This window comes from Homo sapiens, chromosome 7 (assembly GCF_000001405.40).
Source record: "Homo sapiens chromosome 7, GRCh38.p14 Primary Assembly".
Lineage (NCBI taxonomy): Eukaryota > Metazoa > Chordata > Mammalia > Primates > Hominidae > Homo > Homo sapiens.
In genome coordinates this window covers 70,257,848-70,272,945 of record NC_000007.14, presented here as the reverse complement: position 1 = coordinate 70,272,945, position 15,098 = coordinate 70,257,848, and the positions used below count along the sequence as shown (strand labels likewise).

Sequence of the window (15,098 nt, the reverse complement as noted above, 5' to 3'; positions counted from 1 at the left end):
GCTATGTTTGTCTAGATTGGTCTTGAACTCCTAGGCTCAAGCAATTCTCTGTCACAGCCTTCCAAGTAGCTGGGACTACAAGTGTGCACCACCTTGCCTGGCTCTTAACTTAGTGTCTTTCTAGAGACGTTTTCTTTACCTAGGAAAAGGGTCCCATTGTCTCTGGGGCTCAGTCCTCCCTAAGAATTAAAACAAACAAACAAACAAACAAAAAAACAGCAACCATTTGCCAGAAGTACTATAGATGTATGAGAGCCGAAATCTGTTCTGTAAAACCTTCTTTTCCATGGATGCAAAATAGTTACCTGGTTTGTGAAAAAGACAGAAAAAAAAACGAGAGAACCCAATACCCCTGAGTAATTTGGCTTAGGCATTTTTAAAGTCTAAGAGACTAAACAGTAATAGGTTAGTGGTACACAGAAAAAAGATGCATTTTCAAAAGATGCCACCAAAAGAAGCGATGGGACTTCAGAGGTTCAGTATGACATACCCCATCAGGAATTACATGTCCCCTCTGATATTTTCATCTAAATGTTTATTGAACAAGCTCCTGCTTTCATCCACATTATTTTGATTAACGCATGAATAGGTTTAAAAATTACAGAAGAGAAATCTAAGGTGATTGTGCATTAAAATAAATGAAAGGATGACTCCTGGTTTACAGTCAGTATATTTCATGACTAAAATGTGTCCTATCTTTTTTTTTTTTTAATTTAACTACAACACACTTCCCTTGGTTTGGTTTTGAAGTAATGATATAAAATTCATTTTATCTCTTTTTCAAGCCTGGCTCTTTCATACATAACATCAGACTTGTCATATCTGAGGAATTATTAAAATAAGACAGAGCCTGCTATTTCTGAGCAGAAAAGCCTCTTTGAGCCGGCATCCTCAGGAGAGACGCAGGCTCAATCTCATTAGTTGGTGCTGAGACGCGTCCTAGTCTCCAGGTTCAAGGTGATGAAAGATTAGGGCGTTGGGCCTTGTCTCATTTTGTATGCAGCACACATCCCTCCCTGCCCGTGAACATGAAATTACATTGAACCTGGGGAGTCTAACTCCATTAATTTTAAATGGAAGATTAATTTAACAATATGCGGCAGATATTTGTTACAGACCTATCATGTAAAAGTGACGGTTAGCAATAAATTGTGGTGACTCATACTGGCCAGTGGCCCTGGCTCAAATAAATCAGGAGGCATTTACACATAATTGCTGTTTTTAAAGACAGGGATATGGGTGATGTGTTTCTTTGATGAAAGATTGGGCAACCCCATTCAAAGAAACAGCAGCTGATATTAAAGCCACAGTACTATTCTGCAGGGAGATGTTTTTGATTAGTATTTCTGGAATAATCATTTAGGAATAACAAATACTGCATTGATGTATAATAATCTTTTTTTATAAACCCTGTGTAATAATTCTGAGGCATGAAATTGTCATGGTATTTTTATCAATTTCCGTAATTACAATAATAATACCCCCAGAAACAACAATTCGCAAGAGACGAAGAGAGGATGAAAAGGGAGAGAGAGGTAGAAAGGTAGCACTGCTGATAAAGACAAGCAATTCTATTGATTTTCTACAAGTAATTATGATAATATATATTAATAATAATTGGTAAGACTTTGGAAGGGGCAAAAAGATACAATGGCAATTGAAGAAAAGCATTCTGAAGAAAAGAGTGTGAGATTTTCTATTTAATGCCATTTTATAAAGATTTATTAATATTTTTCTTTAAAGCAAATTCTCATCTTCTTTAAGCAACTGAAGGGAAAGAAAGGAAGACACAGAATGCCCTCATGCTTAACTGCTGTAAGGTAAGCAGTGCAGAAGAGAGGCCAAGGACATCAGATGCTCGCAACACTTGTCAGGAGAAGCCTGAACTCCGGGGTGGAACCATCTAGTGTGAGGGTCTGCCTGCCCTCTCACCGAAGAGTGAAGATGTTATTCTAATCTCCTCTCCTCTGCAAGCACGAGGCTTGCCCGCACTCAGGGGAAGGATGCTCAAGGACTTCTGTCTTCAGTCAAGCCCAATGTGATAGCAGCTTTGCTCCCATCTCTTTTAATAGATTAACATGGGGAGAGGGCAGGGTAAAGATGATATGTCTTCCCTCCATGCACCCTCTCAATGTACTCAAGGGACTGCTGGAAAGCTGATTCAAAAACCTGTCTTCAGAAGTACACCTCATTCTGCTGCACTCTATTTAGCAATGTGAGAAGCAGGAGGGGGTAGTTAGCATTTGAAACACTACTTGATATGTCCCCTGGCTCAAGTCTTGAACCCCTCTCCAAGATATTCTTCCACAGAGCCATTGCAATGAGTTAGCAAATCAGATCCGATCACTTTCCCACTGCAAATCTTTCAAAGGGTCCTGCATGCCCACAGGATTAAGTCCAAACTCCTTAGTATACTGTACAAGGGTCTTAATGCCATTCTATTGCTGCCCTCTCCACTCATCCTCTGCTTCTGAAACATAAACACTACACTCCTAAATGTTCAACTTGAAGGTCCCAGGATTGGCGTGTACTACCACACCAATTTTTCCACATACCTTTGCCCTGAATGCTCTTCTCAATCCTCCTCATCTGATAAACTCCTATTCATCCTTCAAAACCCAATACTAACTCCACACCCTCTGTGAAATAGTAGACAATACTATTTTTGTTGTTGTTGTTATTTGCTGGGACCTGCCATATTCATTTTTCCTTGGCATCAACCCAGTAAACATAACACAATAGATAATCATGTTATATTCATAATAACTGGCCTACCTTAAAGAATTTATTTCCCAAGACTACATGGAATGTTTAGGATAGAGGGGATAGGCAGAAAAAAGACATGCTAATATATTTCATGGCTCTTTAATATCATGGTGACCAATTCTGTTTTTGTTTGTTTTTTTTGAGACAAGGTCCCGCTCTGTCACCTAAGCTGGAGTACAGTGGTGCTATCATAGCCCACTGCAGCCTCAAACTCCTATGCTTAAGCGATCCTTCCACTTTGGCCTCCCAAAGCACTGGAATTATAGGAACAAGCTGCTGTGCCTGGCCTCAATTCTGTTTTTTATTTCAATTTCACACATTATAGGAGTAAAAAAGGAAGCAATAGCAAATAGTAGGGCTCAAACATTAAGAATAATATATCTACCAAGAGCCAAAGAGTTTGGTTTGCTGTTATGGGCTATGAGAGAGGTGAGATAGTAAAATGGTAACAGAGCAGAAGCAAAAGCTGTTAGCAACTGATATTTATTAATGCTTACTATGTGACTTAAAGCGTTCTAAGTGCTTTACATGTGTTAATGCATCTAATCTTCTCTAAGAACCTTGATAAGACAGGCGCTATTATCTTCATTTTGTAGGCAGGAAACTGAGGCAAAGAGAAGTCAAATAACTTGCTTAAAGTCATTCAGAAAGCAGGTGTCAGCACCAGACTTTTAACCCAGACAAGTGAGCGTCAGACTCTCTCAAAGAATCCCATGAACCAGTGGGTCCTTACATGTGGCACCCACCTGTGACAAGACCAGAACACCCCCATCCCCCAGTTCTTGGAAGGAAGGTCTGAAAAGGTAATAGGAATTGTTCAAGGCTTCTACTAAGATACTGGGAAACCTGCATGACAAAGAGAACAACAGCACAAGGGAAGAGCCAGAACTGCAGCAAGGCATCATGGCAAAAAGTAGGACTATTCCTCAAGCCTGGGTAAGGAGCGGAACACCAAGAAGCTCCTACCTGCTGTGAGGAGAAGAAGAGGATTGATAGAAACCTGAGCATCAGGCAGTGTCTGGCAATCACCGTTGTTATAGACAGTAGTCAAGATGCCACAGAGATTCAAAGCAAATCTGGGTTAAGGATGATAATTGGTTCAGAATGATATAACATTATTGAAGAACAGCTGCACAGACTCAAGCCCAGCTTCCTCAATGACCCTTTGAGAGGAGACGATTAAGGTTTTCATTCTAACATTTTCAAGTTAGGACAGGATCTTCTTCCAGGTGACGAAGTTAACACTCCTGGCTATTAATAGGTTCAGGTATTTTAAAGAAATTAGTGTTCCATATTTTTATATTCAGTATACTCTTATTTGAGCCCTAAGGTAAATGAAAGGTAAATTTCACTCCATGAGATCTGAAACACATTTTCAAGTAGCCAATTTAAAAAAACAACTAGTCCCATATAGTAATAATGATAATAATAGCAATAATAATAAACTAACCCCAAAGATAATTTCTTATGCTTCTACTATAACTTTTCTCTAAGGATTTGTAAGTTATTAGAAAACACTAATTAAACTATGTAGTTTCCCCAAAGGGGAGGCTATAATGATTTTTTTTGTTCAGATGGATGATTGAGGTAAAGAAGGGTTAAGAGACTTAAAGTCCCTTCACTGAAGCCTAAACCCAGAAACCCCATCCTACTTCTCTAGAAATACAGCTGAAATATTTATGAGTGAAACAGCATCACTATTTAATAAACAAATAATGGTCCCTATCGTGATAAAAACAAAGACTGTACTAAGCTACTTATAGAAAGGAAGTTTATTGGACTTACATAAGAAAGAGTAAATAGCCATGGGTTAAATTCCAAGAAAGAAAGATGGGCTGATATGTGGAGCATTTAAATGTAAACTGCTCACCTCCTCCCTTCCCTAGACTCCTAGTCGATTTAGTCAAAGGCACACAGTTTACTATCCAGAAGCACTAAAATGTCATCAAAGGTGTTAGAGGTGCTATATGAGGATTAAACCCTTAAGGAAAAAGAAAAAAATGCCCATGCTCTAGTCTTCAAGGAGGAGTCAGATGTATGGTGCAGAAGAGTTGGTAACGAAACACAGTATCTTCAATTCACCATTGATACTGAAGTTCCCAGCAATAGATGCCTCTAACGAGTTCATTTTTGTGCTTTAATGTTAAATTTCTTATGGGAGCACATCACCTAATTAGAGGAATTGATAACTGCACTGTTCCATAATGAGGCCAATACATTTCAAAGTCATTAAAGATAACCAAGGCAATAAGTCTGGGTTTAAGCAGCGTTTCCTCAGATTTCACAGTCTGCATGTTGCAAGTGTAGGGGGGGAAAAGCAATCCCTGCCTAGTCAACTGTAAATGCTGGGTTATTGGAATCTTTAAAACAGGCAGCAAGGAGAAAATTACATGGCCAAATCTCCTTTTTTCAGTTAATGAAGAATTAAGACTCCCATTTACCATATTAGAAGGTTCATCAGAGGTCTCAGCTCTCCATAGCTTGTGTTTGACAGCAGTGTCAGTTTATCTGAATCTGAACGTGAAAGTGCATGACAGAGGATCATTCATAACTGTCACATCTACTTATCTCTCCCATTGTCACACAGCTAACGAAATTCAGGCCATGGAGCTGTCTGCCTCTGTCCCCCTCTCAGCCCAGCTCAAAGGAAAAGGCATTCCAAAAGCCCATTCATGTCCTATTATCGTGTCAGCACATTGTGAATCTACAACAAGAGTCAGCATTGCTTCCTATAATCTCCTTGTCCTGGGTAGAAGACAAGATTTCCCTGGGACTAATGTCCATGCAGACTGCATCTGGTGTCAGCATTCAGGAGGGAAAAAAGAAACAGCTCAGAGAAATAATGCTATAGAGAAAAGTTTTTTGAATACATAATTTGATACTTCAGGAAAAAAAAAAAAAGAAACATTTAGAGTTTATCTTTGACTGGTAATGAGGAAATGCCATTTCCATGCACTAAACAGCGATAAATGTGAGAGGATTTCATAATGCAATTTGCTACAGCATACAGATATTTAAACTGAAAGAGAACAGGAAAGCTGATATAGGGATGTCTATAACCAAACCAATCAGAAGATTTTGAGGACAATGTAGCACAAAAAGCAGATATGATTTGATTTGCAAATATCACTGAAGGGGCTTATCCACACAGAAGAAAGTTCCATTATTGCGCTGTCACCAACAATAGAATTGAGAGTTACTATGAAGAAACACACCCATTTTCAGACAAGGAGGCAATCTGCAACTGGCAAATGGGCCATGGCCCAAAGCGGGTAACACAACATGGAAGTGCAGATTTGTTTCTGCATCTCAGGCTCTCGTTAAGTCAAAGGAAAAAAAATACCAAACATTATTTATGATAAATTCACACTAGGAAAGCTCTCCTTTGATATTTCTGAAATTCAGAAAATGGCACTGATTTCAGTAATGACTCAGAGAGGGTTTTTTTTAAACAGCTTTATTGAGGTATAATTGCATACCATAAAATACACCCACATTTTAAGAGTACAGTTTGATGAGTTTTTATAAATTTATACAGTTGTGCAACCATCACTCTAATCTAGATTGATAACACTTCCATCACCCTCAAAAAAGTTCCCTCATGTCAATTTGCCATCAGACCCCACTGGATTAATTTTTTTAAATGTTCTTTTATGCAACATAAAATGTATCATTTTAACCATTTTAAACTGTACATTTCACAGGGTTTTCAGTAGTTTTCAAGGTTGTGCAACCCCACCACTGTCTGATTCCAGAACATTTCATCACCCCCAAAGGAAAACCCTATACCCATTAAGCAATCACTCCCCATTTCAGCCACTGGCAATGGATTTACCTATTTTAGATATTTCATATCTAAATGTACTCATACAATCAGTATGTGCCGTTTGGTGTCTGGCTTCTTTCACTTAGCATAATGTTTCCAAGGTTCAGCCATGCTGTAGCACGTGTGGTACTCCATTCTTTCTTATGGCTACATAATATTCTACTTTATGGATACACCACATTTTGTTTATCCACTTATTAGTTTATGAACATTTGGGTTGTTTTCACTTTTTAGCTATTATGAATGATGGTACTATAAACATTCTGTACAAGGTTTTGTAGAAACATGTATTTTCTTTTGGGTATATAGCTAGGAGTAGAATGTCCAGGTTGCCTCATACAGCTTTGCAGGTTGTACACTGCACAACCCAACACACAACATCCACACTGTAGTCACAAACTGCATAATTTTCACAACAATCTCAGTTTATTTGGGCCTTACTGAGAAATAAACTGATTTATTCTACTTACTTCAAAGTCAGAGTTAATTGTCATAATAGAATTGAATTGCCCTTGATGGCAGTTTTTCCTAAATGAACCACATTTAAGTTATAAAAAATTAGACTTGTCAACTGGCTGTCAGTGTTCAGGCCTAAATAAGACCATAATATAATGTTTTCAATGTTGGTCAATATTCACTGTCCCAATCAGTCAAGAATTAATATTTCTGCTTATGGACCACCTGCCCTCATTCCCCTCCTTCCACCTGCTGGTAACCTGCAGTTTATACATTCTCCTCAACAGTCCTACTATAGATTGCAAAGAATTAATGAAACAAACAAACAAAGAATGACATCCCATTTGGCTTCTCACTGGGAGAACTGATCTATAAAGATGAGAATAAGGGACTGAAGCAGAGAGATAACTTTTTTTCTCACCTCCCAGTGATTATCTTTCCAATGCTCCCCTAATTCCTTATTATATTACTCATTTTTATTAAGCAAATAGCCAGTTAGAAAATACGTTCATTTATCACATTAAAAAAAAGACAAACTGCATACTTAATTCACAAGAAACTAGCCAGCAACAGTTGCTCTCATGGAGATAAAGGATTTACAACGGGGACAGCCTCACCACCATCTTTTGCCAACTGTGGCTGTCTACAAAACTATCATGTACTCCAGTCTCCCCATTCTTCTAAGTCATTGCTTCACCTATAAGAATTAGCAGCGAGGCTGATTATAAAATTTTTTTCAATCCTTGTGTTTGTAGATATAAACACTGGAAGTCTTATTTTTTTCTCAGATTAAAGCAATAAATGCTGTTTTTAAGAGAAACAAATCATTAATCCTAAGGAATTAGATACATTTGAGGAATATAAAATAAACTGAAGGGGAATGCCTTGAACTCTAATGTTTGGTATGAATCCAGAGACCACATCTTATCAGAGTATTGAGATAACTTTACCTTCAACTTATTGCTGCTTCTTAGAAGTACACAATCAAACTTATAAAAGAGAGGGTCTAAGTGTCTAACCATCCTTTACACTTTTTCTAAAAATTTTGCTGTTCTTTCTTCATCCCTGTTACTGATATTTGCAATGCAGAGACCTGTGTCTACCTTCTGATGCTTCATTCTCTATGTAGCCATCTTCTGACATCTGCACACATTCCCCTAAAACTATCCATTCTTCAAGGAAAAAAAGGAAACATTCTCTCATGTTACTCACCGTACTCCAACTACAGACCCTCTACTTCTGTGGTAGGGCTTTAAAACTAGTCCCATAGCCAAAAAATTAATACAAAGAAACAGATTGAAAACCTAGATAATCCCAGTGAAAAGGACAATAACAGCACATGTAAGTAAAGACCCATAATAAAAAACCACTTACTAAATAATGCAAACATTTGGCTGGGTGCAGTGGCTCATGCCTGTAATCCCAGCATTTTGGGAGGCTGAGGCAGGCAGATCACGAGGTCAAGAGATCAAGACCATCCTGGCCAACATGGTGAAACCCTCTCTCTACTAAAAATACAACAACTAGCTGGGTGTAGTGGTGCATGCCTGTAGTCACAGCTACTCGGGAGGCTGAGGCAGGAGGATCGCTTGAACCCAGGAGGTGAAGGTTGCAGTGAGCCAAGATCGTGCCACTGTACTGCAGTCTGGCAACAGAACAAGACTCCATCTCAAAAACAAACAAACAAACAAAAAGAATGCTAACATTCGCAAGTGGATCAGAGGTTCAAACAGAAAGAGGAAACGTCTCTAGGAAGAATTGTTTGTCACAACATTTTATGAACGCTTCCACTCTTCCAACATAATAGAATTGAGAAGAAGAGAAAGGAGCATTGCCAATTGGATCAAATTACTAGTGGAACAATGCAAGTAAACGTGTCTTTATTTCTACACAGTTTTGAAAACTTCAAGACAAAAATAAATTACATGACCCCCCGGTAACTTCCACTAGAACTTATAGGAACAAATTGTTTGCCTCAAGCTGGGTGGAACATACATTCAAATTCAGGCTCTTGAAGGAAATTATTAAGTAGAGTCATATTAGCTTTCTCTGAAGCATACTCGTTTTCAGTATTGCCACTGTATAGACCAATTATGATACCTTTCCATGCTGAGAAATGATTGTTCTGCTAACACAGTTCTGGGAAGAATCAAAAGCACTACATTTTTAACCTTGGGGGATTTTTGTTATTGTTGCTCCCTTGCCAGTTCCTTCACATGGAAAACATCTTCCATTAATCTAAATGCAAAATTTGTTTCGGCTTTCCAAAGTCACTTGAAAAATGTGAAGCACAAAGTAATAAAGTTTTTATGCTCTTAAGACCACTAATGCTTTGAGCTTCATATTCATTTTGAAGAAATGAACATTTTATGGTTCACAGAGGAATAGCTACATGAATAATATCTGAGATTATAATGCATCTAGCAGAAAAAGATTAAGTTTATGTAAACTATTTAATCAGACGTGAAATTTTCTCTAGAGGATAAAAATTCTGACCTATTTAAGTTTACTTTAAAAATACCAATATCATGTTTCTACCAAGGGAACCCACCAATTTTCCCATTTATGTAATATAAATATTCATTAGAGACAAAACTTAACGTAAGATGTACTACACTGACCCAAGGATGTTATATTGGATATCCCTATATTAAACAGAGATTAGATGAAAAGAATTCTAGTTTGCTACTTGGTCCAAATACTCAGTTAACCTTTAACTGATAGACAATCGTTTTAGGAGACTGCCACTGCTGAAGGCACTAAGCTGTTCCACAACTATTGGAAGAATATAGCTGAGTATCACGCAAAAAAAAAAAATCCTTCTACTTTTATTAAATATATTTCCTAGTAACATTTATGCAAATACACAGGGCAAAAAATAAAACTAATAAAATTTACTGAAGTTTATGTATATTTGTCAAATTAATTTATTTGGAAGTTTCCAAATTTGATAAATCTGATAAATGGCCTATGACTGTATTTCATGTCCATAAATATCACAGTGGGCCCCAAGGGTCCCATATCCAGGCCCTTGGTGACCCAGAATTGTCCTCATTATAAATATAAGGGCTAACATCATGACTCTACTGTGGCCACTTATTAAAGAGAAGCCTGTTTGGAATCATCATCACAGGTATTGTAATACAAAAACATTTGGTTTTAATTCAAGAGATCACTTGTCATAATTCTATTTTTTACATTTTTTGGCAATGGAGACCTAAATCCGGAGATTTCAGAAATGACAGTTATAAATTGTATTGCTACCATTCATAAAACATATGCAGCTTAAAATTAGTTTCTAAATATTTGATATCTTTTTGAAGATTCAGCCATACTTCATATAAGTTTTAACAGTTCCTCTTCTTTACTTTGATATATAAAACAAGGTTAAGATGAGGAGAAAACAAGAAAATCAATTTCACAGTAACAACTAAGATGTCAGGTCTTTAAAAGGCGGAGGGGGGTGGATCACTTGACGTCAGGAGTTTGAGACAAGCCTTTCTAACATGGTGAAACCTCGTCTCTAGTAAAAATACAAAAATTGGTTGGGTGTGGTGGCAGGTGCCTGTAATCCCAGCTACTCCGGAGACTGAGGCAGGAGAATTGCTTGAACCCAGGAGGCAGAGGTTGCAGTGAGCCAAGATCGCACCACTGCACTCCAGCCTGGGTGACAGAGCGAGACTCCATCTCAGAACAACAACAACAAAAAGAAACATACATTTAAAAAACTAAAATTAAAATTAAAATGTAATTATTAAAGACAATAGCCATAGAATGCTAATACCTGCTTTTAAAGTTTACAGATAATTAAATAACTTTTTGTAATATATCGCTTAGTAAAATATTTTAAATCAAATTACTACATCTTAAAATGCTTTAATTATGCCTGCTGTGCTCTTTTTAGTACGAAATTAATAGCATGAAAATCAAATTTTGTCTTTTAGTGAAAAAACAGTTGAAAACAAAAATGGTGATAGAAAAAACTATAAGCCAAATAGACAATATAAAGACATGAATCTAGAGAACAAAATGGCAGTCATAGACATTCATGATCAAAGAGGCGCTCCTGAGGCCAGGGGTCTGCTTTCCTACTCCCTATAGTGTATTATCTGAATTCAAAATTCACTTATTCAAGTCCTTCAAATAACAGTAAAGATAACAACTGTAGGGAGGAGAAAATAGGAACAAATGAGATTCGAAATTTTATTAAGTCAATTAACTTGAGTCCAGCTGAGTCCATTAGGGAAACTGATATTTAAATCTGATTTCAATATGTTCATATAAATGTTTTGATCAGGATATACATGAGAGAGAGAGAAGGAATACCTAATATTTCTCTGGACCCTGTTTATGTGGCAAAAGTGGGATTACAACAAATATATTTTTAAAATCAACTTCATTATACTTGAGGTATAATACACATAAAAGAAAAAATGTACCCACTTGAAGTATACAGTTTGATGAGTTTGGACAAATATGTCTGTATCTATATAACTGCCACCACAATCAAGAAACAACATTTCCATCACCCACAATGTTCCCTCATGCAACTCTGTAGCCAGTGTTCCCACCCCTGCACCCAGGTGAACATGGAACTACTTTTTGTTACTACAGATAAGTTTTGTTGGTTCTAGAATTTAACACAAGTGGAATTATTAAGTATGTACCTTTTTGTGTGTGCCTTCTCTTACTTAGCACAATGTTTCTGAAATTCATCCATGTTGTTAGGAATATCAGTTTGATTCTTTTTTGTGCTTAGAAATAACCATTATCTCTATATGCTGTAATTTTCACCTAGTAATGTATACTGCTTCTTTCCAGTTTTTGGCTATTACAAAAAGTGTACAGGTTGGCCGGGCGCGGTGGCTCACACCTGTAATCCCAGCACTTTGGGAGCCCGAGGCGGGTGGATCACAAGGTTAGGGGATCGAGACCATCCTGGCCAACATGGTGAAACCTGTCTCTACTAAAAATACAAAAATTAGCCAGCTGTGGTGGCACGTGCCTGTAGTCCCAGCTACTCAGGAGGCTGAGGCAGTAGAATCGCTTGAACCCGGGAGGCGGAGGTTGCAGTGAGCCGAGATTGCACCACTGCACTCTAGCCAGGGCGACAGAGTGAGACTCTGTCTTAAAAAAAAAAAAAGTGTAAAAAGGGTACAGGTCTTTGTGTAAGCATATAGTTCCATTTCTCTTGGGTAAATACCTAGGAGTGGGACTGCTGCACTATATATATGCTATCGTTTAAATGCCCCCTCCAAAACTCGTGTTGAAACTTAATCTCCAATGCAGCAATATTGAGAGACAGGTAGCTTTATAAGAAAAGGAAGAGAACTGAGCTAGCATGTTAGCATGCTCACCCCCTCACCATGTGACACCCTGTGCTGCCTTGGAGCTGTTCAGAAAGTCCCCACCACCAAGAAGCCTCTCACCAGATGCAGCCCCAGCCCCTCTACCTTAGACTTTTCAGCCTCCATAACTGCAGAAATAAATTCCCATTCTTTATAAACTATCTAGTATTTTTTCTTTTTTTTTGAGATGGAGTCTTGCTCTGTCACCCAGGCAGGAGTACAGTGGCGTGATCTCAGCTCACTGCAAGCTCCACCTCCTGGGTTCACATAATTCTCCTGTCTCAGCCTCCCGAGTAGCTGGGACCACAGGTGCGCAACACCACGCCTGGCTAATTTTTTTGTATTTTTAGTAGAGACAGGGTTTCACCATATTGGCCAGGATGGTCTTGATCTCCTGACCTCATGATCCGCCTGCTGCAGCCTCCCAAAGTGCTGGGATTACAGGTGTGAGCCACCGCGCCTGGCCATAAATTATCTAGTTTTAGGTATTCTGTTATAAGTAACAGAAAATGTACTAAGGCAATAAATAAGAAGCTTTATTAGAAAATATTTTAAAACTTCGTAAGAAAATGGCAAATTAAAACAAACCTCTTGATTCACAGTTTTAACCACAGTTTTCATTATGCTCTTGGGACCTCTTTCTTCTCCACAGATCCACACTTAAAATATATTTATTCTGACTTCACTCAAACTTTTTGGCTCCTATCTACCCCACTAATGTGAGGCCAAGATACAAATGAGTCAACAGCTTTGAGAGATCCAAGCAAGAGTTCCAAATGATCTGATTCAAACTGGAGTAATGTCAACACTTAGCACTTAACAGAAAAGTCCTCTACAAGCTCTTAGCAGACACTATTCTTTTCAGCCCATCCCTGGTAGGAAGTGGTCAAGAACAAGGTGGCATATGCCAAGGGTGACTGGCACCAGATTTGACTCATTCTGTCAAAGGCTTTGGCATAAGCACCGTGGCCCTGGCATGGGCATCAACAGGCAAAGAATCTGGCAAAACCATCAACAGGGGAAGGAATTAGGCTTGGTGAGGACAGAATGCACAGAGGCCCTTCTCAATGGGCATGCCAGGTCCTTGACATGATGATGAGTGAGGCCAATGGCATGAACTGATTGTCAGTTTAGCTGCACTCCTCTTTTTGATGAGGTGGAACATATCAATGATCAAGTTTAAGAACTGAAAAGGCTTTTTAAAATGGAAAAACCTCTTTTTACAAAAAAAGAAGGAAAAAAAAAAAAGCCAAGCTCTAGATTTTTGTATGAAATGAAAGAAAGGGGTTAGGGAGGTCTCAGAGGTCATACCTGTCAGGAAGTAAGGTATTTGGTACCAGAAGGAAGGCTCTGTGACAGCTGCAGAATGCATACCATGCTCGCATCGTGGACAGAATATAAATGTTGCCTTCATTGTCCACTCAAAGATATGCATATCTGGAAACTGTCATTACTGAGAGTTTTAATATTTTTCCACACCACTTGCTTGAAAGGAAAGGCATCAGAGGTCAAAGTGAGTTCCTGAAGGGCACCACATAATTCATGAGACAACCGAACCCTCCCAGACTCTGGAGGGCCCGATGCTGGGTGCTGTTCTGTGCTACTCCTGCATGGAGGTATGGGATGAAGGTTCCTTTTGGGGCTGCCTTGCCAAACAGAAAGCCAGCTTCACAGATTATTGGGAAAAGAGTCAGTAATCAATACAAAACGTATTCAAAATGTCATCAAGCTTGTTAGAGTCCCTCTGTCTTAGATTCCACAAGGGTTTCTAGTCACTTTTGAAGTTTACCTTGTCCACTATCATTAAATATTTGTTGTCACATGCTTGACTAGGTCCTGAAAATTTCTTAGAGCCAAAAAAACAAATGCCATTTTCACAGCAGCCTCATACGACTTAAGGTAGCCTACATCTTGGTCTCTCAGGGTAGTAAGATAGTCCTTAGATAAATGTTCCAAAAATGAAACCCTGTGAAGGTGGCCCAATGAGTCCCTTGCCTCACACATGGACAAGGATCTAGTGCATTCTTCAGCAAGCTGGATAACTTTCTAAAAATGTTCAAAGAAGAAAATGATAGGGTCATGATCAGCACAATTCATTTCTAACTCAGAAATGTGCTTCTACTCCCGAGCAACAGCTGAACCAACACTGTTCACAGAAAACAGACTGAATTATGAAAATTGCGTGAAAATGAAGCTCTTTGATGACATTTGCTACTGTCCTACTTAGTATTCCTTCTCCATCTTTCCCCTATGAACACAGTTCCTCTTAGATGCCCTTTCTTGACCTCTACAGTTGTTACTGCTCAACATAACTACAGTCTCAACATTGTCAAACCATTTCACAGTGACACCATGTCTCAGGCAATGTTAGGCCATTGCCAACAAGTAGCGAGTAACCTGTGCTGACAACACATTACAGCCCTGCCATAAACAATCATCGTCTCGCTGAAGCAAAATGGCAGTCAAATTAGAGCAGAATATGTAACAACATGCATAGTAAATTGGCACAGCAGCTTGCTAAACAAAAACAGGGCAGCAGTCACACACAAGATGCAGAGCCACAACTGTGCCACATTGTCCATGCTCATGTCGGCCAGGAGTTGGACCAGAGCCCACCTATGCCAACAGAGAATCCCTGTCGGGGATGAGTGGGAAACCTCTGCCCACTTTTGTGTTGTCAGCCTACCTCAATTCTATACTCA

The 15,098-nt window shown here is 38.7% G+C and overlaps 1 protein-coding gene across 26 annotated transcripts in view, besides 1 other annotated feature; it reads right to left on the bottom strand.

Moving 5' to 3' along the window:
* AUTS2 (activator of transcription and developmental regulator AUTS2) overlaps positions 1-15,098 on the bottom strand; it is a 1,195,032-nt gene that overhangs the window by 520,561 nt on the left and 659,373 nt on the right. The window lies entirely within an intron of this gene.
* Positions 3,836-6,097: an enhancer, noted in NCBI's record as "VISTA enhancer hs2318". NCBI's record gives its function as "enhancer in: neural tube[4/4] | hindbrain (rhombencephalon)[4/4] | midbrain (mesencephalon)[4/4] | forebrain[4/4]" and the evidence as "EXISTENCE:transgenic organism evidence [ECO:0001131][PMID:17130149]".